The sequence below is a fragment of the Homo sapiens genome, chromosome 13 (assembly GCF_000001405.40).
Source record: "Homo sapiens chromosome 13, GRCh38.p14 Primary Assembly".
In the NCBI taxonomy this organism is placed as follows: Eukaryota; Metazoa; Chordata; class Mammalia; order Primates; family Hominidae; genus Homo; species Homo sapiens.
This window is the reverse complement of record NC_000013.11, coordinates 46,605,903-46,630,337: the sequence shown is the minus strand read 5'-3', so window position 1 is coordinate 46,630,337 and position 24,435 is coordinate 46,605,903. Positions and strand designations below refer to the sequence as shown.

The following is a 24,435-nucleotide window of genomic DNA, read 5'->3' as shown; positions in this document are numbered from 1 at the left end:
AGATCACAAAGAGAATGCCCATTTTTATAACTTATAATCAACTGTCACAGGAAGGAACAGAAAAATAGTCTGCCCCATCCATCTGCTGTTCCACCCACTGATTATGCCTCAGGGACTCAAATCCTAGATAAGCTCTGAGACTTTCCATATGGCCATTATCATCAATTTTCAATGAGCAGTCATTGAGTGAGTGGCAAGAATATAGCAAAAAAGAAAACTAAAGTCAATCAGTTGCCCTGTGGTTCCAAGAATAAGGTCCATTGACATCAAAATTGTTAGACTCACAAGCTCTAAGGAATCACTCTGTAACTTTCCCTTGCCCAGAATTCTCCCTGAGCCTCACTTTCCTTCCCTGCCTTCAGCTTTCCATTTTCACTTACTTTAATCCTATTCATTCTTTAAAGACCTGCTGAATTACCACCCCTGGGGGAGACCCCTGCTCCATCCAGCTACAAGAGATGTCTACCTTTTCTAACTGTCTGGAGAGTGGACCTGGTTTGGGCTGTTACTCATTTAGCCCTGATACTGTGGTTCATGTCCATTCAAGGTTTTGGGCCTGAAGGAAGCTAATCTATCAAGATATTCGTAGGAAGTGACATGCGACATAATAGCAACCTGCATTGCTGGCTCCTCATTTGTGTTCCTGCTCCTATTCTCCCCCATTTCCCAGGCTTTCTGACCCATTCCCATAGGCTCAGAAACACACAGTTTCCCCAGCAGCAGAACCACAGAGCCCTCCACAAAGTCTGGAGTTCCACTGAGCACCCATCACATGGGCCCTGAGGATGCTGGGGCTTGCTGAAGACAGAATCAAAGGCTGAGTTACAAGGGGCTCCAGCCAATGGCTCATTGGCAGCATTAGCCAGCTGCTCTGCATCTTTTCAAGCCTTTCATGAACTATGCAATTAGAGGTATTCATTGTGCTTATTTTATTTTTGATTGGCACACAAGAACACATAAAGTGTATTTCCATCAGACTACTATGGAACAGCTAAAAACAAAAATAACAGGTGAGATTTAAAAATAAAAAACAGAAATGGGCTACAAACCCTGAGAAGACAATCAGTGTTCTTTGGTACTGTTTATTAACTGCAGAAAGGTGTCTTTTTCCCCCACAGAGGCCTCTATGCTGGTTTTATCAGTTTACTACTCTGTTCACTGATTTTGCCCCTAGGCAGCCCTGGAACTTTGCCCTTGGGGTTTTCAAATGTTTTCTATAGCTTGCTAGGAAGATGGCATTAAAGTTCTTGGGAAAGGCCCTCTGAGATACCTTTATTTAATTTGTGGAGTTCAGGGAGACTTGGCAGACCACTGTCAAATTCAGAATGAACAATATATTAAAAATAATGTTAAAACTTACTATATGGATAAACCAATGGGTACATTCCATGATGTTTAGCAGCAGTAGAGCTGGATGTTTTCTGTCCAGCTACAAGACATGTTTCTATACTGCGAATTTGACTGGTCATAGCAGATTGATGACGCCATAACTCAGGAGTTGGTTCATCCACGATTTGTCTCCACACATTACTGTTTTATATCTCCAAGTAACAGAAGCTGGATGTGAAATTCATAGTGAGGCTGAACAGAGCACCCCACACTGCACCAGGGTCCACTCTAACCGTTCCTGTCATGGTCTCAGCCTGCCGGGCCTTGTGTTTTTTTTTTTTTTTTCTTCCCTGAGACAGAGAATCGCTCTGTCGCCCAGGCTGGATTGCAGTGGTGTGATCTCGGCTCACTGCAACCTCTGCCTCCCAAGTTCAAGTGATTCTCCTGCCTCAGCCTCCTGAGTAGCTGGGACTACTGGTGCGTGCCACCACGCCCAGCTAATTTTTTGTACTTTTAGTGGAGACGGGATTTCACCATAGTTGCCAGGCTGAATAGACTGTTAAAGGTCAGGTCTCGAACTCCTGACCTTGTGACCTGCCCACCTCAGCCTCCCAAAGTGCTGGGATTACAGGCATGAGCCACCATGCCCGGTTGGCCTTGTGTCTTAGATGTACCTTCTGCATGATTCTCTTTGCATGATCTCATGCAAACGTCTTGGTGTGTTTCATTCTTGTCTCCCAGTACTCACCAGCCTCATATCCTTCCTTACATCCCCTTCCATCAAGCAGCCCCGCATATTTTCATGAGTTAAAGTCATATTTACCAAAGTGTATCTGTATATAGTAGGAATGTAGTATGTCTTCTGAACTGTGCTCCTGTTTTATGATGGTTTTCATTGTTTTTGTTAGTGCTGTGCTTGCAAAGTAGCATAGATTTAGAGTGGTTGGTCCCAACTTAATATTTCCCATAAGCCAGACTGCCCCAAACCAATATTTCCCATAAGCCAGACTGCCCCAAACCAATATTTCCCATTAGCCAGATTATTCTGAATGTATGATTTTGTAGAACATGAGGTTTTCAGGAATATGTATATTGAATTATAGCAGAGACACCTGTAATGGTAATACAGGTCATGAAAACTGAGAAAAAGTAGAAAATAATGTGGATGACTCAGAGAAATTACACGGATCCAAAAAGTATAAATAAAAAGAAAAGCTTAAAAAGAAGGAAGTCTATTCAGCCCTTCAAAATATGCCATTGTTTTAAGTGGCCAACAACCAAGAACCATATCAAGGCAGGAACAGTGTTGCCAGACTCCAGTGGGAAAAGGACCCTGAACCCAGCATCCTTGTTGATCTTTGCCATACGTGTGTGCATGCACTAAGGTAGGTGGACCAGGGCTGAGAGGGAGGAAGAAGAAGAGGGAAAGAGCAGGAAAACAGTAGGGCAGGCAGTGACATAATGATACAACAGAGCACTGGACAACGTCCTCAACTCTGCCTCTAGTGAGTTTTCATAATTCATTCAACTTCTCGATTTTTTTATCTGTGCCTCATTTTTTTATCTGTCAAATTAAAATCTGGCCAAATTTAAAACTCTATGATACTCTAAGCCAAAGGGTTAGAAACAGAACCATTCCTTTGTACTTAGTTCCCAGAAAGATGGGTGATTTAGCTGGTATCACTTTTACATTTACAAATACCGGCATATATAGAATCACACAGATGCTTAAGCCCCAAATGTTATTTACCAAAGTGTGGGCTTAATAACATATGGGGCTTAAGCATTGTGTGATTACATGTCTGTCAAATTTTGTGTATATACATATACCCTAAAACACTGGTCAATTATCTTTCCAATTGGTCTACAAAATCAGTATGATTACTCCAAGTAGTACATCTATGAGTAAATGACAGAGCCAAAATGCAAACTTGAGTCTAGCAGATTCAAAATTTCTTTCCATTTCACTATGCTGTCTAACTAAAAGATGTCGGAGATATTTGAAAACACCCAACCATTCCTCAAACATTAATTTGAGGATGACTCATAAAGAAATTAAAGGAAATTAACACTACCTGGTGTTCATCTCATTTATAATAAAACAGGAAGTCAGGATATTACGAACCTTTTCATTTTGCTGTTTTTTTAAAAAAATCTTGCATAAACCGGTTAGTGAAAGAAAACAAAGAAAATATCAATGGCTATATATTTGATAGATTACCATATGTCCTTTCCTATCTGGTCCTTAATTTAAAAGTAGAAGAGCAACAAAACTTCAGCAAAAATTGTATTATGCTACCTTTCATGCACGTCCATGTGAGGAGACCACCAAACAGGCTTTGTGTGAGCAACATGGCTGTTTATTTCACCTGGGTGCAGGTGGGCTGAGTCCGAAAAGAGAGTCAGCAAAGGGTGGTGGATTATCATTAGTTCTTATAGGTTTTGGGATAGGCGGTGAAGTTAAGAGCAATGTTTTGCGGGCAGGAGTGGATCTCACAAAGTACATTCTCAAGGGTAAGGAGAATTACAAAGTACCTTCTTAAGGGTGGGGGAGATTACAAAGTACATTGATCAGTTAGGGTGGGGCAGAAACAAATCACAATGGTGGAATGTCATCAGTTAAGGCTATTTTTACTTCTCTTGTGGATCTTCAGTTACTTCAGGCCATCTGGATGTATACGTTTAAGTCACAGGGGATGTGATGGCTTGGCTTGGGCTCGGGGTCTGACACTACCCATAGTCATTAATAGTGTAATACAACCAAGGGACTATGCTTTGGAAAAAGCCATTACCACCCACCTTTGCACACTGAAAAGTGCTAAAACTGATCTGATGAAAATCAAGTCTAATATTACATATTTTGCATATAATATGTCATTACCAAGATTCCCAGGCTTAAAATTTAATTAAAAAGAAACATAAAAACATGAAGGAAGTGGTTTCACGCCACAACTCCTTACATAACATAGAATACTGCTGAATATAAGACCCATAGATTAAGTACAATGGAAGATACAAAAATACCATAGTCTGAGTGGCTTAAACAACAAACATCTGGCTGGGTTCGGTGGCTCACGCCTGTAATCCCAGCAATTTGGGAGGCTGAGGTGGGCAGATCACTTGATTCCAGGAGTTTGAGACTAACCTGGGCAACATGGGGAGACCCCTCTCTACAAAAAATACAAAAATAAGCTGGGCGTGGTGGCACAGGCCCGTGGTCCCAGCTACCTGGGAGGCTGAGGTGGGGGAATCACCTGAGCCCAGGAGGCAGAGGTTGCAGTTACCTGAGATCATGCCACTTTGCTCCAGCCCAGGCAACAGAGAGAGACCCTGTCTCAAACAAACAAACAAGACCAAAAAAAAAAAAAAAAAAAAACCCCACACATTTATTTCTCATAGTTCTGGAGGCTGAGGAGTCCAGGCTCAAGGAGTCCGGGCTCAAGGAGCAAGCAGATTATGTGTCTGGTGAGGACCCCACTTTCTGCTTCACAGATGTTTTCTCACAGTGTCCTCATATGGTAGAAGAGGAAAGAAGCTCTCTGGGGTCTCTTTTATAAAGACATCCCATTCATGTGGGCTCCACCCTCACGACCTAATCACCTCCCAAAGGCCCCATCTCCTAATACCATCGCCCTGGGGGCCAGGATTTCAACATATGAGTTGGGGTGGGGGGACACAAACGCAGTCCATAGTATTGTTCTAAGCCACTGTTTTGGGGTGACCTGTTTCATGGCAACAGATAGGTGGAGTACAGAAGTATGCAGAAGATAATAGAAGAGTATGGAAGAGGGTACTGCTAACACGGACTGAGGGAGTCGGGAAAGAAGTAAACACTTAAGCTACCCCTCAACGTGCCAACAGGGCGCCACTAGGCACTTGGGCAAGAGAGGGGGTTAAGAATCCAAACAGATAAAATGGCACAGCTGCAAATGTACATAGGTAGGTATGGTTAACACTCAGCCTAGAGTAGGGATAATGGCAGAAGTAAGGCTGAATAGACTGTTAAGGGTCTCTGTAAACAGAACCCTGAGGATGCAGGCTACTGAAGGTTTTTAAATAAGAAAGTAACAGGAAGAATCTCAATGGAAGGAAGATTACTGATTACAGTGAATCTGCCTAATACAAAATTTCACTCCACAAGTAAATGTTATTGTAACAAGGGCTAAGATGTATTTTGAAAAAGTAGCTAACATCGTTGGAGTTGTTGGATTAAGCTCACAATACAGAGATTTTCTCAAGGTGTTAATATCGTTTTTCTTTTTGCTTCATCCTTACTAAAGCAGATTCTGTTACCAGTATAAACAGCTGAATTCTAACTTTGCAAGGAGGCTCCCCTACCTCATCTGTCCAGTCTTCCCCCCATCTCAGGACATTTTCATAACGAAAACCCTCCATGCTTCACTGATAGCCTGTAAGACTTTTCAACTCTGTGGATCCCCTAAAATTCTCAGCAAGCTCAAACCACCATTTTAAGAGGCATTCATGTTCTCTCACCAACGAAAAATGAAAGAGCATTCCCTGAAAATGGAATGCAATAGCCCCGTCTTAATGAGTAGGGATGGGTTAGGAAATAAGAGAAACTGAGGACTGCCAAAGTGCTGCCATTCTGAAACTAAGTTAAGTGGGCCCTGGCCAATTCCCAAAGTGCTTTCCTTAATAAGGCATGGAACACTTCCATACTCAAATCCACATCAGTCAAATCAAACACCAGAGAACAAAACAAATGAAGGAGGCTTTTATAATGGAGTGTTCTATTTTGTCCACAAACTTTATAATCTAATATAAATTCAATCTTGCAGAAAAGGTATTGCAAGTTAAAAACAGGGCCTGGGTGTAGTGGCTCACACCTATAATCCCAGCACTTTGGGAGGCTGAGGCAGGAGGATCATTTAAGGCCAGGAGTTCAAGACCAGCCTGGGAAACATAGAGAGACCTCATCTCTATAAAAAATAGAAAAATTGTCTGGGTGTGGTGGCATGTGCCTGCACTTCTAGCTGCTCAGGAGGCTGAGGCGGGAGGATCGATTGAGCCCAGGAGTTTGAGGCTGCAGTGAGCTATAACTGCACCACTGTACTCCAGCCTGGGTGACAGAGTGAGACTCTGTCTCTAACGATAAATAAATAAATAATAAAAAACAGAGATGGGGAGGGGGGAGGGATAGCATTAGGAGACATACCTAATGCAGATGACGAGTTAATGGGTGCAGCACACCAACATGGCACATGTATACATATGTAACAAACCTGTACGTTGTACACATGTACCCTAGAACTTAAAGTATAATAAAAAAAAAAGAAAAAGAAAAAAAAAAAAAACAGAGACAGGGTACACAAATTATTCTTTGAGTCAAGAAAAGGGGGCGGGGCAGCAGTGGTGGAACAAATGATCAGATTGGCACAATTCCTAAGGAAAGGTGACAGACTTAAACATATCCCTAGAGGAAGAAGTTGACTCTGAACAAACAAAAAAAGCACCAAAAAGCGACCCTCCAAGGATGAGTAGACTTTATAAAGGAAGCTAGAGATTGGCCACTTTGCCTTACTGGTACTAAAAATCTAACATTTTATAGACATTTTATTTAAGACTCTTAAATTAATCATATTTGTGGCTTTCCTTATCCTGCAAAATATTTACTTTCTCCCCATTACAATCCTTTTATTAAATATGTCTTTCCCCACCATTACCATCTCTATGCCAAAGCCCCTACTCAGTCTACACATTCTAATAACCACAAGCATTATCTTTCACCAAGATTGTGCATTATTATTATCATTCAATAAAAAATTGCTCCCAAGATGAGGCAGGATTGCACTAAACACACCAGATGATAAGTCCCCAGCTCATATGGAATCTACAGCCCACCACCAGCTGCTCTCAGTGGAAGGATAATGTAAAGCTCAGCCTGAAACCACTTGCCCAATTACAGTGCATGCAAATGACAGACTGGCATCTTTTAACTACACTAAAAGCTTCCAGCCCAGCTTACTCTGGGACATGTGCCAGTGGGATGAGCTATTACACCACGAGTCTCTCCCCAAATGCTATTTTCCCAAAAGGCTTCAGCTCACTAAGCTCTGAGCAGTACGACGCAACAGCAAAGCTGCTCTACTGAAATTACTAATTTCAAACTCTTTAAAGAAGCTGAAGCAAAAAGGTAAAACGTTCTCAACAGAAAAGCCAACTTTATCACAGTGCTCCTAACTGTTGCTGGAAAATTCTGAGGACTGTCATGTTGTTTAAATTAGCAAGTAATTTTCTTAGCTTGATTCTCAGCAAAAATTATTTTCAATACACAAACTAGCCCCAAAAAATAGAATTTCCTTTTTCCTGTCACCTTACAGGTTCTCAGTTCCTTAGCAGTTCCCCTTGAATTTATTTAAAAAGCAGCATTATTTGAGTGGTACTAGTTGTACTAAAATAGTGGTACTAGTTTAGGACTAAACTTGCATGGAAGCAGGAAAAGAGTGAGGAAGCTCTACTGACACTGGAAATACAAACCACTTTCTGCAAGTTAATGCCTGCTTCTAGAGACAGTGTCAGGATTTGCACTGATTTTTAATGAGCTTCTACAGGCAATACACTTGCAGATGCTTGCCTGTTAGGAAAGATGCAAATTACACCCACCCAAGCTGAAGTGAATGAAAATCTATTTAATAGTGGAGACTGAACAACGATAGATTGTGTCTTATTTCCTTTGCAGGGTTCTAGTGTCACTAAGTTAATGGTATACTCTATTAACCAGGCAGGTGGTTGGCCAACTGGAATTCAATCAACACAGAATATACAGGATACCTCGCCTTGGGGGGAAAAAAAAAAAAAACCCATAGAAATTAGTGGGCTTGTTTAGATAAGTATATTATTATACAAATGTTTTATCACAGGGCTTCTCTAAATAGCAACTCCTATTGGCACATTCCATTTAATTCAGTTTATTCAAGACTGATTTACACACAATCTTACATAAACATTTCTATTACATAAGGAAGAATAATGTAATGTTTGCTTTATGTTTGGAGTCCAGTGTCTGGAACACAGACATAATAAGCCTGTATCTTATCCGTCTTTTAAATCCCTAGCATTTAAGAGTACAGAGAAGGGACTAGATAAATGTCTGCAGGATTAAGAGATGAAAGCAAACGTCTCAAAACAACACCTCCTCCCACTTGATGACTTCTTTTTTGTTATAATACAATATACAAAAAATAACAATTGTCTTAAAAATTATTTTTACTGATTACAATGAAGCTACTAACTCTCTTATTATACTGCGCTTTATATAATTGTATAATATCCAGGGTATTACAAAGTGAAATTTACTCAGTTGCAAACGCTGTAAAAGTCTGGTGTAAGATTTTCTTTTTTCTAAGAAATCTAGTTAGAGCAATGGGAAACAAGCAATGCAGAACCCCTTCCTGACTCACCTAGACTTTATCAAAGCTTTCCAACTAATGCCTTACCCCAATCTCTCCCCTTTTCTAATGCCACTGCAATTAACCCATTAAGATACAAATGAAAGCCTGTCACTCTCCTGCTCAGTAACCTTTTCTTGTTTTCTGCTGCCCCAGACTAAGATCTCAACTTGATTATATAGCATTCAAGCACCCTGCACTCAGAACTGAGCTCTAGCAAGTCAGCTGCATTTCCATTCATTTGACAAATGTGCATGGCATTTCCTACCAGACTCTAGAGTTAAGGCACCATTCTGCACTGAGGCCACTCACAGCTAAGTGGGAAAGATGGATGTATGAACAGATGCAGAAAATCCACTGTGGTACCTGCAACACACCTCCCACATACTGGCAAAAGGCATTTTGCAGGCAGAGAAATATCTGATTCACTGTATTTACATGACACTAGCGGAACGCATGTTAGAGAGTAAGAGAAAGATGAAAGTATCAAAAAATGTGCTCATACACATCCCTACTTTGGGACCCCAAACATCTTGGTTCTGAGGCATAAAACATGAAAAGCAGGGTCTTCTAGGAGGAGGCCAGGTATGAGCAAGGAAAAGGACTAAGGCCCAGTCCCTGTTCTAAGAGCCAACGATGACACCCAAAACAATAGCTTAAACACAGTCAGACTCAATGAATTAGATTACATCTCTTCCATAAGCCAAGAAAGGTAATGATATGTCCCCCATAACATTTCAGCATGTGATATAAAGGAGTTAATTATCTTTAGTCAATGATTTACTCAATGTCTCTGTAAAATGCGAAAAGCTATGTTAACTTAGTACAGTCATACCAAAATTCAAATTAAATGTGAAGCATGGGAATGTCCTACTCAAAAAGCAAAATTTTCCACATATAGTTATGCCAATAGCAAGTCCCCATGGACTTCAGTTACAGAACTCAACACTGCTTCAGAAAAATGTTTCAGATCATAGCCAGGGCCCTTCACCACTGCATGGCTCCCGTTCTGATTAATGACCTAACCAGAAGTTTTGCAATAATTAATACACACTCTCCCTTGAACCCCACACCTGTTTCTAGTGGAGAATACTACAGACTTTCATTTTACTCTATACTTCTCATTTTTTTAGTGAATAACTGAATATAAAGGCACATACCATGGAACAGTGGACATAGCATGTCCTCATCAGCATAAAAACAAGAAGAACAAAATTATATGCTTTTTTTTTTTTTTGAGACAGGTTCTTACTGTCACCTAGGCTGGAGTTCAGTGGCACAATCTCAGCTGACTGCTACCTCCAGCTCCTCGGCTCGAGTGATCCTACCACCTCAGCCTCACAAGTAGCTGGGGCTACAGAATAACATGCTTTTGTATTGGTAGTATGCAGAAGGATATGCAAGAAACTGGTAACACTGGTTGCCTGGGGATAGGCCACTGGGTAGCTGTGGATAGGCCTGGGAAGGAGTTTGGACTCTATACCTTTTCCTACTTGTCAAATTTGGAAACGTGTAAATGCACTTCTGAGTCCAAATATTTTAACAATCAAATACGAATACTAGAATTACGTTATCTCTATTCATAATTTAAATTAGTGCCGAACCAAAAGGAAATTAAACATACCCTTTCCACTGAACATGTATTTGATCCAAATATTGAAAGAACTAAAATGTAAAATGCAATTCTGCATTTTGGAAAATGAGTTACTGGTAGTAACACAAGGACTGAGAACGTGGGTATAGAATTGAGGAAATGCTTCAACGTAAGGAGCTATTTTAGCTACAATTCTAAACACATGAAATCCACCAGGCTTGCAATTTACTCCATCTTCCAAACAACAACAACCACCACAACAGCAAAAACAACAGTAGTGGTCAAAGTAATGCAAGTCCGACAGCCTCTTCATCCGAATGCCCACCTTCCCTTCTGATTTCAAACACAGAGCTTCGCGTGTGATTTCTTTCTAAGCATAAGGTTACTCTGACAATGATTTCTCTAATCAAGTATCTTCTCTTTATAAACTGCTACCATCTCTCTCTGCCTCTGTCCTGCACTCTGGCCCTCACTTTGAGACTGTTTTACTGAATAATTTATTCCTTAATGGATTTCCCGAAAATTCCTGGTCACTGCTTCAAACCTACCTTCTTAAACTAACAAATCAGAAGAAAAATTTTTAAATAAGAACTTTAGGCCAGGCGTGGTGGGTCACGCCTGTAGTCCCAGCACTTTGGGAGGCCAAGCAGGCGGATCACTTGAGGCCAAGAGTCCGAGACCAGCCTGGCCAATGTGGCGAAACCCCATCTCGACTAAAAATACAAAAATTAGCCAGGCGTAGTGGAGGGTACCTGTAGTCCCAGCTACTCAGGGAGGCTGAAGCATGAGAATCACTTGAACCTGGGAGGCAGAGGTTGCAGTGAGCTGAGATCGTGCCACTGCACTCCAGCCTGGGTGACAGAGCAAGACTCTGTCTCAAAAACCAAAAAAAAGGAAGGAAGGAAGGAAGGAAGGAAGGAAGGAAGGAAGGAAGGAAGGAAAAAAGAAAAGAAAAGAAAAGAGAACTTTAGATGTGAAGTTAGTCTGAAGTTCCCAAGAATCTGACAGGATTTTTCTAAAAATATTTGTAAACTGTGGCACCATCGCTCTAAAAGTTATTTCAACCTAAGAGGAATTCCCCTCCACTGCTTTCCCAAAACAAACCCACATGGGGAAAACACAACTGAGGAAAGACAGAGCAGTAGAAAGGTTCTAAGTGACTACCAACAGAATTCAACTCTGAGCCTCCAGGGGCAAAACTCAAAAAGGAAACCTGAGTAGTGAGAAAAACAGCTACAAGAAAAAAAAAATCTCTACAAGTTCCTCCGAGTACACTATCTTTTGTAGTGATGGAAGTTGTTCTATTTTATCTTTAACTTAGGCCTTAAAGAAATGCCCATTGAGAGCCTTCATTGGAGGACTACATTGTAGTGTAACGTCCAATTCTCAACGTCATTTTCCAGGTCAATGCAGAAGAATTCTATAAATGAAGAAGGTTCTGTATTTATAAGTTTTTTTGCAGCCACTATTAAGGGAAAAATACCAATGCAAAATTCAGTGCAAGACAGCACAGAAGACAAATTTTCCCACATACCAGGGTTAACTTAAAATTAAAGTAGCTATACTTTTATATACAGTTATGCCCCACACAACAGTTTCCATTAACAATGGACCACGCATGCAGTGGTGGTTGCGTAAATGGATCTGCCCTGTAAAGGTGTACCATTTTCACTTTTTATGCCTTAGTTTTACTGTACCTTTTCTATGTCTAGATATGCTTAGATACACAAATACTTACCATTTTTGTCAGGTAATGGGTGCTGTCAGGTTAGGGGGAGAGGAAAATTGCCTACAGTATGCAGTATGGTAACATGCCATGCGGGTTTGTAGACTAGGAGCAATAGGTTACACCATATACCCTATGTGTGCAGTAGGCCACGCCATCTAGGTTTCTGTAAGTCACTCGATGATGTTCACACAACAATGCAATGGCCTAAGGATGCATTTCTCAGAATGTGTCCCTGTCGTTAAGTGATGCATGACCGTATAGCTTGTAGAAGACACTAAGGGTATCATTATCAGGGCATACAGCTTATTGAAGATAGGGGCTGTATCTTACTTATCTCACTGTCCTAGTATCTAGTAATACCTAGTGCTCAGCAAATTCTCAAAAATATTTGTTGAAGGAATAAACAAATGAACAAAAGCAAAATGAGGAAATGGCACCACATTATAAAGAAAAAAATGTTTTGGGGCCTATCCTGAATGAGAGCTTTTATTGTCCTTCAGGAACATTCTTAAAAATTCTGAGAAGAGTTTTCTCATTCTCTAAGAAGACTGAGTAAATATGTCTGAGTCAGATCACTTAACTGCTACACAGAGATTGGATCTGTATCTTTCAAAGACAAGGGTTAGGCAAGGACCAACGACATCCAAATTCCCTCTAGCAAAGAAAAGGATGAGACCTTCAGGGGACCTGCAGTTGAGACGAGCCCCTGCGAGAACCTTGTTCATGGTTACAAGGCAGGGGCCGGGTGTCTTAGCCAGCCTCCCTGCGGAGCAAATAGGAATGTGCAGCTCACATGACCCTTCGTATCTCCTGCTTCAGATACTCAGGCACCAACTTAAAAAACACTGTTGGAAGGGACCACACAGATTTGCCGACATCCTTATTTTACAAAAGGAAAAAGAGAGACTTAGACAAATGAAGTGACTTGCCCACACAGCGAGTTAGTAACTGGTCCAGGATGACAACCAAGTTTTCCTGGCCCCTGATCCAAAGTTGTGTCTAACTCACACTCCTCTGCTCCTCTGCCTGAAATGAAGGGCTGACTCCAGGGCTATTCCCATCCAAAGCATCCAAGTATAAACAACCAAAATCACATCTTCAGACCTGACACAGGCTATCTGACAGTTTTGAGCACTGTGTTATTGTCAGGCCTCTGAGCCCAAGCCAAGCCATCGCATCCCCTGTGACTTGCACGTATACATCCAGATGGCCTGAAGTAACTGAAGATCCACAAAAGAAGTAAAAATAGCCTTAACTGATGACATTCCACCATTGTGATTTGTTCCTGCCCCACCCTAACTGATCAATGTACTTTGTAATCTCCCCCACCCTTAAGAAGGTTCTTTGTAATTCTCCTCACCCTTGAGAATGTACTTTGTGAGATCCACTCCTGCCCGCAAAACATTGCTCTTAACTTCACCGCCTATCCCAAAACCTATAAGAACTAATGATAATCCACCACCCTTTGCTGACTCTCTTTTCGGACTCAGCCCACCAGCACCCAGGTGAAATAAACAGCCATGTTGCTCACACAAAGCCTGTTTGGTGGTCTCTTCACACGAACGCGCATGAAATTTGGTGCCGTCTCTAAAAGGCACATAGAAAAAATGTTTCAGATCAGTTGCCTTCATGCAGAAATAAGAGATTTATTCTGGGGTGTGTTTTACGAATGATTGTTTACTCCTGTTTTTTAATACAACACTATTTAAAGTTCTCTGGGAAGAATTTGGAAGTAAGTGACTCAAGACATTACACTTTCATTTTCAGAAACTCTCTAAATAATAAACATCAGCCTCCACTGCCACTAGGAACTTGTATCTCACCGTGCTGTCAGGCTTATGACCAAAGACTGGGTTGGGGGTGCTGTCAGGTTAAGGGGAGAGGAAAAGTCATCTGTCAGACAAAGGTTCTGTTTAAGCTTATTTTGATAGCAAATAAGTTATTTTTATGGCGCCGTAGCATAAAAGTCTAGTTTACAGGGCTCTGTTTCTGGTTTTTGCCATTTACTTTCAAGTTTTATTTTAGAAGTTGGTCTTGTGCCTGGGGAAACTCATCTGGGAAGAGAAAGTACTGACTTCAGGGCACAGGTCTTGTATTGTTCCAATTCACTAAATAAAGCCATTTTTCTTATCTGCGAAACTTAAACCCGCTCCAGGATATTTTTCTTTTCCCAGTACACAGTTCAGCTGCCAAATGCATTACTGCATCGTAATTCTAAGTCCCATGTTTACATTTCTAAGAAACAATGTTTAATTACTCTAGAAGCAAAATATAAGGGAGCTACTCAAATTGTTAACAAATCGTAACCACAAGAGCTGCCTTGTACAGGGGTACAAACAGAGAGGAAAGGCAGTAAAGGGACAAGGGCCTACACGACATCTGGTGGCTTCTCTTCCCCAACACTCAAAGCATAATGCTTCCTGGGAAATCTTTCCATCAAACTATTCATAATGATAACTCATTTTTAAGACCATCCACACAGACTATCATAGCTGGGCACGTCTGTACATGTCAGAAATATGGGGAGATAATACAACTGAAAAACATCCAATCTTGGGGACAAAAACATTACGAGAACACTTGCGCTGAAAACCCTTTTTAGTCTTGGGAAACAATAAGACAAAAGCAGGTCCCAATGCAGATCCATCATGAATATCTTGATGAAGGAATGGAAGGGAGCTCGAAGCTGGGTTTTAAAAAAGCAAAAATTCCTAGAGTTGCATCTTATGCCACTTAACCATGTGATGAGGTTTGGAGGTTTTTTCCCCCTCCAAATCTCATGTTGAAATGTGACCTCCAATGTTGGAGGTGAGGCCTAGTGGGAGGCGTTTGGGTCACAGGGACGGATCACTCATGAATGGCTTGGTCCTGTCCTTGCCATAGCAAGTGAGTTCCTATTCTGAGTTCACACAAGAGCTGGTTGGTTAAAAGAGCAAGGCCCCTCCTCCCTTGCTCTCTCTTGCTCCCTCTTTCGCCGTGTGTCTTGCCTGCTCCCCCTTAGCCTTCTGCCTTGATTACAAGGTTCCTAGGCCTCACAGGTAGCGGAGCAGATGCTGGTGCCATGCTTGCAGAGCCTGCAGAACCATGAGCCAATAAAACCTCTTTTCTTTATAAATTACCCAGTCTCAGGTATTCCTTTATTGCAACACAGAACAGAGTAACACACCATGAAATGAACGTTTTTAAGAATAAGACTAAATTGTCAGCAGTAATAACTCAGATTCATTATTACCTACCTAATTAATTCATCAGTGAGGACAAAGATCCAGTGATAGCCCTAAAAAAGAATAGCATCTTCCTAATAAAATGTCTAAGGTGGGGTGGCCGTGGAATGAGCTCAAAGTCCCAGCTGCCCAAATGTCAGACAGTAATTCTGAAATGGTTTTCTACATTATAATACAATTCCAACAGGATTTTCTGACTCACTGCCTCTCCTCATGGGACAAAATGTTTTGATACTGCACCGTGATATACAATAGAGTAAGTCCTTCTTACGTCATTATTCATCTCGAATGTCATAATACCTTTCATCTGAGTCTGGCGCTCCCCGGCAGAGGGAGTTAACACAAAAATACATAAGGGAATTGAAACAAGGAGAATACACAGCATTCATTTTCAAATGAAAAACAACAATGTCAACTAGAAAACCTGATTCACGATAAAAGTCTAGGTGTAATTGGGAAACAGTATTTACCACTAGAGATCAGATTTTATTAAAACTTTTTAAAAAAAGTTTCCTTAACTGTGCATGCTTTTCCCTCTAAGAACAGTTTGGGTTTTTTGATCTTTTATGAATCTGACATTTCTTTATTTTCTCCTTATGTGGATTTGTTTGGCAGGTATTTGTGACTTCATGATTTTGTATCCTCTCTAAGTCCTTTTCATATTCTTTCTCCTAATCTTTCTCTAACAATTTCATCTCCCTGGAATAGACAAAAGGCCCCCAGAATTCAGTGATGGCTAACTGTCACACTATACTGCCTCAAAAGGCATAATCGGGAGGGGCAGGGAAAATGGGGAGATATAGATCAAAGCATACAAAGATGCAGTTATCTTGGATGAAAAAATCTAGAGTACCACACAAGTATTGTCGTTAATAATATTGCATTATATATTACAAATTTGCTATGATAGTAGATTTTAGGTACTCTCGCCACAAAAAAAGAAAGGTAACTATGTGAAATGATGGGTGTGTTAATTTAATTGTAGTAATTACTTCACTAGGAATATGTATATCAAATATCATGTTGTATACTTTCAATACATACAATTTAAAACAAAAAAGAAAAAAAAAAGGCCTATTAACGAAGGCAGCTCCAAGAGATTAAAAGCAACCTGGCTCACCTAAGGAAGTGTAGGAAGTGCTGATGAGGCAAAATAACCGGCTAATGTTTTTAATGTCGGAAAGAAGGTGTTTGGATCAGGCCACTTCAAAAGCCCTGGAGTGGAAGATAAGAATTTAGAGGACATTTAGGAACATACCAGACTTAGAGAATAACTTCTGTGGTCACCCTGCTTATGTTGTATATGTTTGAATCGTTACAGCTACAAGCTATCAATGACCCATTTCGAAATGGCTCAAGTCAGGTTCTGCAACACACCAATTAAATCAGAATCTCTGTGAGTAGAGCCCAGGCATCTGGATTCTAAAGCTCCCAGGGTGATTCTAATGCGCAACCAGGCTGAGAAATCACAGCATCAGCCAATCACGCTTTGGGCCTCAGGTCTTAGACCACTTACCAAAACCACATGGGAGGCTGAGTCCTGAGCAAAGCTGAGGGCTTATCATTAAGGAAGGGAGAGGGAGGGAGGGAAGCGTTGATGGCTGATGGGGAAGGAGCAGAGAGTATAAATACAATTTTAGAAAATCTTTTTTTCTTTTTTTTTTTTCAGACGGGGTCTCGCTCTGTCACCAGGCAGGAGTGCAGCCGCAATCTTGGCTCATTGCAACCTCTGACTCCCTGGTTCAAGCAATTCTCCTGCCTCAGCCTCCCGAGCAGCTGGGACTACAGGCACGTGCCACCACGCTCGGCTAATTTTTGTCTTTTTAGTAGAGACAGGGTTTCACCATGTTGGCCAGGATGGTCTCGATCTCCTGACCTCGTGATCCTCCTGCCTTGGCCTCCCAAAGTGCTGGGATTACAGGCGTGAGCCACCACGCCCAGCCCTAGAAATGCATTTTTTTAAAGAAAATTAAAAACCTGGTAATATTTGTTACGGTGATCTGAAATAATAATGTACAAATTACAGGTTTCTGCAGTTTTTCATTTGTTTACAACAAATCATATTATTCATCAATGCATATATATACATATATGCTAAACTGGGAACACATACGATTACTTCATCATTTCATTCTGTGACTTCAATAGGTTAAAATGACTGTCTTTCTTAAATTTCAGTTCCTAATTGGCCAATGTATAAACAATAAAATATGCAGCCTTAAAGATAAGCAAGGAAGATACCTTTGTTACCTTCAAAATGATATTGTAATCTGTTTTTAGAGATCATCTGCTTAGCCAGCAAGACATGCACAAGGAGTTGGAAACTTCCCTTTTTTTCATAATTTTGTTTTGAAAACTCATAAACAAACTCATTCAAAACAAACAGTCCCAGCATGCTAGCTATACGTTTTCCCCAGAAAATACAAAGAAGAAAAGAGAGTGGTCCTTGGAGTGGTCTAACTGACCTCATTCCAAGAGGGGTGCTTCAAAATTGAGACATATGAGCCTATCTCCCCAAAGAGGCAGGAGATTCAACAAAGCTGTGAGCTCTTCTGATGAATTTACATTTGGAGCCCACGACAGAATAGGCAAGGTGGCACAGCATTATGTCATGTCAAGTTACTTCTTGCTTATACATATTTAAAACTACAAAAGAGGAACAAGTATTCATAATTATTTTGCTCATTAATATGTTCATACCTTCATAACCGTGTATACAAAATATATACATTTGTATTGAAGGTGTTAACTTTAAAATTCAGTGAACCTAAAGGTATTGCTTGCTCTGTTTTATTTCATTGCATAACTAATAAAGTTTATTTTATATATATATTTAATTTTAAGTTCTGGGATACATGTGCAGGATGTGCAGGTTTGTCACATAGGTAAATGTGTGCCATGGTGGTTTGCTGCACCTATTAACCAATAAAGTTCATTTATATTGTTTAAGTATTTTCATCTACTCTTTAGCTATATAACAGGCTGTCGGTTTTGTTTTGCTGGGGAAAAAATGAGGTCCCCTTAAGGGCAAGATTTGCCATGTTGTTTTTTAATGATAGTGGCATTTAGTATTTAGTATGGAAAGAGTATCTACTTTACCTCCTAGTACTGAAAGCCACATACTGACAACAATGGCAAATGGTGCCCTATGATCTTTTCCTCAGTTAGCTCTAGGGCAATGCCCAATAACAGAAACATTATGTAAGCCACCTATGCAATTTCAAATTTTATAGTCATCACAATTTTAAGAAGATAACATTATTTTAATAGTACATTTTATTTAACCTAATGTACCAAAAATATTATCATCTCAACAAATAATCAACATTTTAAAATTACTTATTGTATATTATTCTTTTTAAATACTAAGTCTTTGAAATATAGCATGTATTTTACACTCACAGCATATCTCAACTTGGACATTAAATTTTTACTGGAAATCTTTTATCATAAACTTTAGAGATGAAAAGGTAAGCTCACATATTCAAGTTGTTCCAATCATATATATTGGATATCAATTTTAAAGTTTTGATTAAAACTAAATACAATTTACAATTCCATTATTCTGTCACACTACCATCTCTCATGTGTTTTTGAGCCAAATATCTCTATTGGCTATAGTACTGGGTGGCTGAGCTCTAGACTAGGAGAGTACGATGGTGCTTGAACACCACCCTGCTGTTCTCCAGAAGAAGTGGTCCATACCCCAACCAGAAGAACCCAAGGAAGGAAGCTGAAGAAGGAAGCTGTCACAGCTCAGGCCCAAATAATGTTCATTCCAATGCGGGAAGCTGAGAACCACAAACCCTCACTAGCATAAACCGATGGTGTTCAGTAAGACCCTTGGAGGATCTGCATGAGGATCCAACTCATCATGTGACAACTGCAAAATTGGTTCTCAGAAGCAAAACCAACCGGGGACACTAGCACCAGAATCTTATCCTAAAGCTTCCTAAAGCATGGTGTGATTAACTGAGATGAAAAAATCTAAGGCCCCTAGATCCCAGCACCTCTAGAGCTGTTTCTAACTTTGGTTGCAAATTCCCTCCCAAATAACATTTTAGAGTCACAGTTACCTGTTGAATACACATGCTAAGAGGATCAGTGATTATTCTGATAAATTACATTCTGTACCATTTTTCCTAAGCCATTTCCAGTCACTCTTATAAATGCTGCTTACCTAAATGCCCTGCAGTGTAGTGGGTGGTGCAGAACATGTCAGACGGACACATATCTGAAAAGATACTGTGTTATCGCATGTTTATAGCTGCACAATTCACAACTGCAAAAATATGGAACCAGCACAAATGCCTATCAGTCAACAAGTGGATAAAGAAGTTGTGATATATACATATACAGAGATAGATAATGGAATACTACTCAGCTATATAAAGGAATGAAATAATGGCATTCACAGCAACCTAGATGGAACTGGAGACCATTGTTCTAAGTGAAGTAACTCAGGAATGAAAAACCAAACATCCTATATTCTCACTCCTAAGTGGGAGCTAAGCTATGAGGACACCTATTCCCCAAAAACCTACTGAAATTAAAAAAAAAAAAAGGAAAAAAAGATATTATCTTTCAGGAGGAAGATTTGGGTAGATAACTTAATAAAATATTACAAGTTTTTAAATAAAAAATATATAACTATAGTGACCACAATTTTCCCCAAATTAGAAAAAAGGTGAATTACACAGCCTAAAAGAAGTAGAATAAATCAGCACTACCCTAGGAAATCTGCCTTTGAACACAAAACAGTGAGCCAAAAAATGTATACGATCACATACAATTATGTGTTTAAATGCAAGTTAATCTAAATGATTAACTTCTACATATGTTCAAAGGGAGACATCTTTTGGATTATCATTTCAAACTCTCTCCCAAATATTAATAAATCTTCAACAGAATTTAAAGTAAGGTCTAGAAAGTGAGCATTCCATTCCCTTCTCTTTCTTTTCATTTGATTTTGATGGTGAAGCTGATGAACAGTACAAGGGCCCAACTGCCGGCCATGACAAAAAGGAGAAAAAGAAAGTGGAGAAACTAGTTCCTGGACACCTTGGATGTCACAACTCACAAAGGTCAATCTTTTTTTCTTTATTCACATGCCTTCCTTCTATACAGACACTTGTTTAACGCTTCCAATGGGGCCCCTTCCTGCCCGTAGGCAGCTGTGTGTGTCTGGCAGCCCCTGAGCCCAGGCTCCATCTGGTCCCCGCCTCCCCGCTCATAGGCTCTAACCTCTCTTTCATGGACGTGCCATAGTTTGCTTTACTTTACAGCTATAAATTTTTAAAAATTACTTAATTATTGCCTGTCACTCCCTAGACTGTGGGTATCATGAGGTGGGGAACACCTCTGTTGTGTTCACCCAGTAAGCACATTTCCTAACACACACACCTTCACTCAGGGAGTGTTCAGTAAGTCTTTTGGTTGAATGAATTAGTTTACTATTTGGTTAATAAATTTAAGACCTTTTTTCATTCTAAAATTTTAAAACTCTCTATGAGACCTTCCTTTAAATAAAGCTTTCACCTTCAAAAAAAAATATCAGTAGCTACATGTTTATAAAAACAGACAATTTATTTCCTTGTGCCCTCGTTGCCAGCATTACCAAAATGTAGTTTTTAATCTTAGAGATTATGCAACTGAACAGCAGTGGATACGAGTGGTACACAAGCTTGAAGAAAACTGATATCCACATATTGGCAATGGAACTGTCACTCCCTAAGAATGAAGAATGTAGATGCTTTGTTCAAGGCAAAAACCCTATAACTCTGTCCCAGAACAACATTGCAAAATGGTGAAGGCATATGGGCCTAGTGCTTCATGCCCAAATATGGAACAGGTGACAAAGAGGCCGAGCACAGCAGAACAGACACTGCTTATGACCACTCTGTGCAGAAAATGCTCACCTGGTTTTAAATTGTGGCAACAAGTTAAAGGACACAAATAGCTAACTTGAAGTCAGCGAGCCTTTGTGGACATTAAGAAAATGCCTGGGTGGAGGCTGCTTGTACCTGGTTCACTCAAGGGTGCCATACAGCTCGGGAGGTCAATTACATGATATAATACATGCTTCCCCTCATGAGATGAGCAAGTGAGGGAAAAGCAAGCTCCTAACAGAGGATGAAATTTTGTTCTGTCAATTTTCTTTAAGGAGAATGCATGCAATGTGTACTGCAGTAATTTCTAGAGAAACTTAAATTTCTGTAAAGTAACTTATGGAGTTAATTGTCAATTACATGAAAAAGAAATCTATTTTTAGAAACCCACTACATTATACCAAAATCAGTCCAAGTTAAAGACTGCACATTATTAACTCTTTTAGCAAGAGACGAGCAAAAGTAACTAAATTTCAATGGTATCCTTTTGCAACTAAATTTCACCCTCTTTACTGTAGTAGTAAAAGAGGAAACAGGGTGAAGGAAAAAGGCACAGGTTATACTAAAAACCCTCCAATCTGTAAACTCAGGAAAATTAACTTGGCTTCTTTTCCTGCAGAAGGATGGATAACAAAATCATGTTTATCAAATACTTGTTATTAAAAGACTGTATGACACTCTACTAAGCATTTACTTCTTTTTTCCAGAAATTACTCCAATTCTGTCTTATGGTCCTTTCCTCACACTGAGTGGAAATACAAGTCAATGTTACCCCAAATGACACATGGCACCATCAGTGGAAACTATGATGGGCCACAGAAACACAGTGCGTATGTCTCTCTTTAATTCCAAAGCAAATCAGCTCTAATGATGAGAGTACCATCTTCCATCTCCACACCACATCTGGAGGTCGCACAAGAACACGTCTGCACTTTTCTGCCCTGTGACTCGTGTGAATGCAAGGGATTGGGAATCAAACCTGAGCCTGGACTAAGAGAAATAAATTGGATCCCAAGTTCTGGTAACTTTGGAAAGGCATCTGTGACCTATGATGCCCTTCACAAATCACTGACTTCCTGGGTCACACCCCAGGGTCGAAGTGCATCCCCCACAGGTCCCAGCCTCCTGCTTTGATCAGAAGGTGATTCATCACCGGTAAACTCTGGCTGCAAACTCATATCTCCTGTGGCCTTCCCACATCCCTCCCTGCCCTCAGTTCTGCTTCATACAAATCAGTAATTATTAACTATATTAGAGATGAACAGCCCCACTAAGCATTGCAGATCCTTCCCAGGAGCTGAAGCTCTCCATTACAAAGGGAACTGTGCCTTTGCGTCTCCACCCTTCCCTGCCGCACCCCTCACTCGCCAGGAAGTTGCTCACCTGGTTAATAGATAATAAATGACAGTCATCTTCCTAAGATGTCTGAGATCCTCAGATTTTATATTACACTTTCAATGAAACTAATACAAGTGTTTAACAGAGCGAGACTGTGTCTCATATTAAAAAAAAAAAAAGAAGAAGAAGGAAGAGGAGGAAGGGGAGAAAGAGAAGGAGAAGGAGAAGGAGAAAAAGGAGAAGGAGAAGAACAATGAATCATGAGGGCAAGAAGGTCCTCACTGACTCTATTTATTCATCATTTATGCACATGGTATTTCCAAATAAAAGAGCCTTGTTTCTATCTATAAAAAGGTCTAGTCTTTGTTTTTAATAATCCCAAATTACAGAAAAGCACCAAAACAAAATAAAAATTCAGCCTAAACCTCACCACTCACAAAAAAAGGTCTCTTCTAGATAGCTCTCTTTGACAGTACTCACAAAAGAGACCCCTTCCAACAGGTTTGTGTAAGTGGTTTTTTGGTTCACCACAAAATGAATGGCAGCAAAGTAAGCCTGGGAAGTTGTCCTGCATTTTCTCCGAATCTGTATTTGGCTATTTGGTATCCATCAATTACAGGGCAAGTTAACAGCCAAGTAGTTTCCATCTCCTCTGTGATCTAGCTGAGCCACCTCCTTATCTAACTCTCAGTTACCCAGCCCACATTTCCCCTGCCCTAAATCTCTCAGGGCCAGGAACTGACAACTAAAGACCATCCCAGCGCCTAGCCAACCCCAAGCTGATTCCTCCAGTCTGCCTTGCCTTTTCCATAAAAACCCAGTAAAGGCTCTGGCCTCGGCTTTCCCCTGACTCCCATCTCTTCCTCTTCACCCAAATAGGTGCTTCTCCTCCTGGCCCTGTGTGGCATGGAATGCCCTCTTCTCTTAGGAAATGTGAGTAATAAAAAAAAATTTCTTTCTGCCAGGTGCTGTGGCTCACACCTGTAATCCTAGCACACCAGCCGAGGCAGGAGGATCACTTGAGGTCAGGAGTTCGAGACCAGCCTGGCCAACATGGTGAAACCCCATCTCTACTAAAAATACAAAAATTGGCCGAGCGTAGTGGCCCACGCCTGTAAGTCCAACTACTCAGGAGGCTGAGGCGGGAGAATAGCTTGAACCTGGGAGACAAAGGCTACAGTGAGCTGAGATTGTGCCACTGTACTCCAGCATGGGCGACAGAGTGAGACCCTGTCCCAAAAAACAAAACAAAACAAAACAAAACAAGACTTATTTCAATGGACTTGTCCCCTCTGTGTCATCATTCAGTCATCTCTGTAAGTTAAAATCCTGTGGGTAGGAACAACACAGAAGGGGGGAAATGCTATAAATATCACCTCTGAAAGTAGCAAAAAGTGACAACTGACAATGAGGAAGGATATCAAAAAGTTCCCCATGCACTCATGAGTTTTGTCATGTGGGAGTGTTAATGTAACTAAGGGCAAGTCCTATAGACTCAGAATAGCCCAAGGGCACCCATGAATTAAAACCACAATGACCCATGTTCACAAAACAGTGTTGATAATGATGAGATTGAAAAAAGGTCGAACTGTGTTCTACATGGTCAAAATAAGATTTCAGAAGGTTAAGTACTTTAGAACGACTTATACACACACACACACACACACACACACACACATAAGGTTAAAATTAGAGTTTGAGCATTTAAAGGATATTTCAATGACTTGAAATGTTAAATTGTCCTGAGTCCTTTTCCTCAATAGTTGGGGAAAGCTGTGTTTGGAGTCAGGCAAAAGAGGTCCTACTCCCAGCTTCATCACTCACTTACTGTGTGACCTTGGAGAAGTCACTTCATGTCTCTGAGTCTCCATTTCCTCTAATGAGAAAAGAATATTGAACCCGACAATATCTAAGAAGCCTTCCA

General features: G+C 40.5%; 1 protein-coding gene across 5 annotated transcripts in view, besides 3 other annotated features; it reads right to left on the bottom strand.

The window, feature by feature from the left end:
* The window catches only part of LRCH1 (leucine rich repeats and calponin homology domain containing 1), a 199,872-nt gene that overhangs the window by 122,704 nt on the left and 52,733 nt on the right, over positions 1-24,435 (bottom strand). The window lies entirely within an intron of this gene.
* Positions 10,720-11,222: an enhancer, noted in NCBI's record as "H3K27ac-H3K4me1 hESC enhancer chr13:47193251-47193753 (GRCh37/hg19 assembly coordinates)". NCBI's record gives its function as "activates a minimal SCP1, AML or CMV promoter by ChIP-STARR-seq in primed H9 embryonic stem cells {active_cell/tissue: H9 hESC(primed)}" and the evidence as "EXISTENCE:reporter gene assay evidence [ECO:0000049][PMID:30033119]".
* Positions 11,223-11,727: an enhancer, noted in NCBI's record as "H3K27ac-H3K4me1 hESC enhancer chr13:47192746-47193250 (GRCh37/hg19 assembly coordinates)". NCBI's record gives its function as "activates a minimal SCP1, AML or CMV promoter by ChIP-STARR-seq in primed H9 embryonic stem cells {active_cell/tissue: H9 hESC(primed)}" and the evidence as "EXISTENCE:reporter gene assay evidence [ECO:0000049][PMID:30033119]".
* Positions 22,417-22,476: an enhancer, noted in NCBI's record as "active region_7708". NCBI's record gives its function as "activates an Ori minimal core promoter by ATAC-STARR-seq in GM12878 lymphoblastoid cells {active_cell/tissue: GM12878}" and the evidence as "EXISTENCE:reporter gene assay evidence [ECO:0000049][PMID:35858748]".